This window comes from Homo sapiens, chromosome 6, assembly GCF_000001405.40.
Source record: "Homo sapiens chromosome 6, GRCh38.p14 Primary Assembly".
Classification (NCBI taxonomy): Eukaryota; Metazoa; Chordata; class Mammalia; order Primates; family Hominidae; genus Homo; species Homo sapiens.
The window spans coordinates 104,682,706-104,683,826 of NC_000006.12; the positions used below are offsets into that span (position 1 = coordinate 104,682,706).

General features: G+C 46.8%; 1 annotated feature.

Moving 5' to 3' along the window:
• Positions 369-663: an enhancer, noted in NCBI's record as "tiled region #1651; HepG2 Activating non-DNase unmatched - State 12:CtcfO, and K562 Activating DNase unmatched - State 12:CtcfO". NCBI's record gives its function as "activates a minimal TATA promoter and a strong SV40 promoter by Sharpr-MPRA in HepG2 and K562 cells {active_cell/tissue: HepG2 | K562}" and the evidence as "EXISTENCE:reporter gene assay evidence [ECO:0000049][PMID:27701403]".

Below are 1,121 nucleotides of genomic sequence, written 5' to 3' on the forward strand. Positions count from 1 at the left end.
CAGTCCATGAAGACCTGCCTCTTTCCACCAGGAGCCCGTGCTCCCTACCACTCTGCAGAAGCTGACCCGCCTTTTTAGGGTCGAGTCATGGGTCGTCTCCATCTTGGCTCCCTGAGGATGAGGCGCTTCTGCCTAACTTCTTCCAGGGCTCCCAGACTTCTCTTCCTCTTGGCTGCCTCCCCTGGTGTGTTCTGGAGAAGAATATTCACTCTCTTGACAAAGGAATTTAAAGAGTGCCAGAGCTGAGGGGGGCCAGGGCCACATTGGGAACTGAGTACTTGAAAGTGCCCCCTCGGCGGATGGCAGGAAAAGGGGAGCATTCACACACAGGGGTATACTGTTGAAGAAATGCCAAGTCCTGCTTTCTTTGATTCTCTTTGAGTGTTTCTTCAAATAAGGTGCCCAGCAGAATGGCTTCTTACCTTCGTATAAGAATGGCACATTCTGCTGAAAGATGTTGCGCCAGGAAGATGGAGATAAAATCCTGAGGAAACCAAGCAACGAGAAAGCCAGGCAACTTCACCAGCAGAGGGCGCCAGACCACCAGCGGCGCCTCACAGGAAGTCCGGGTCTGTAACCACTGGTAACTCTGGGGACAATGAAGGGAGGGGACACTGGATTATTATTATTGTTCCCATGTTATTTATTAAACCTCATGGCCAGAACACTAACAAGCATTGTATAAAAAAAGAGCACAGGACTTGGAGTCTGAAAAGCCAGATTCTAGCATTTTGTAGCTTTTTGGCTTGGCCAAACACCCAGAGCCTCCATTTATTTTCTTACCTATGAAATAGAAGGAAAAAATAATAATCGTAGCAATGGTGTGTGGCTTATCAACTTCACAGGTTTGCTATGAAGGCTGATAAATAAAAGGGAAAAAAAGATCTATAAGCACAAACCTTAGTTATTTCTGGGGTTGTGAACTCAAAAGAAGTATATTAATCTTAAAGGGCAACTCACTCCTCATGCCACAGAATCCGGATGCCTTATCACGTACTTCGGAAAGATACTTATGTTCCAGCCTGCACAGATAGTAGGGATTTGTGGAGTAGGGAGTCCATTCAGAGAGGCACCAAATCCCACTGGGTAATTAATGGTACACGCCATTCCACCCCAATCTC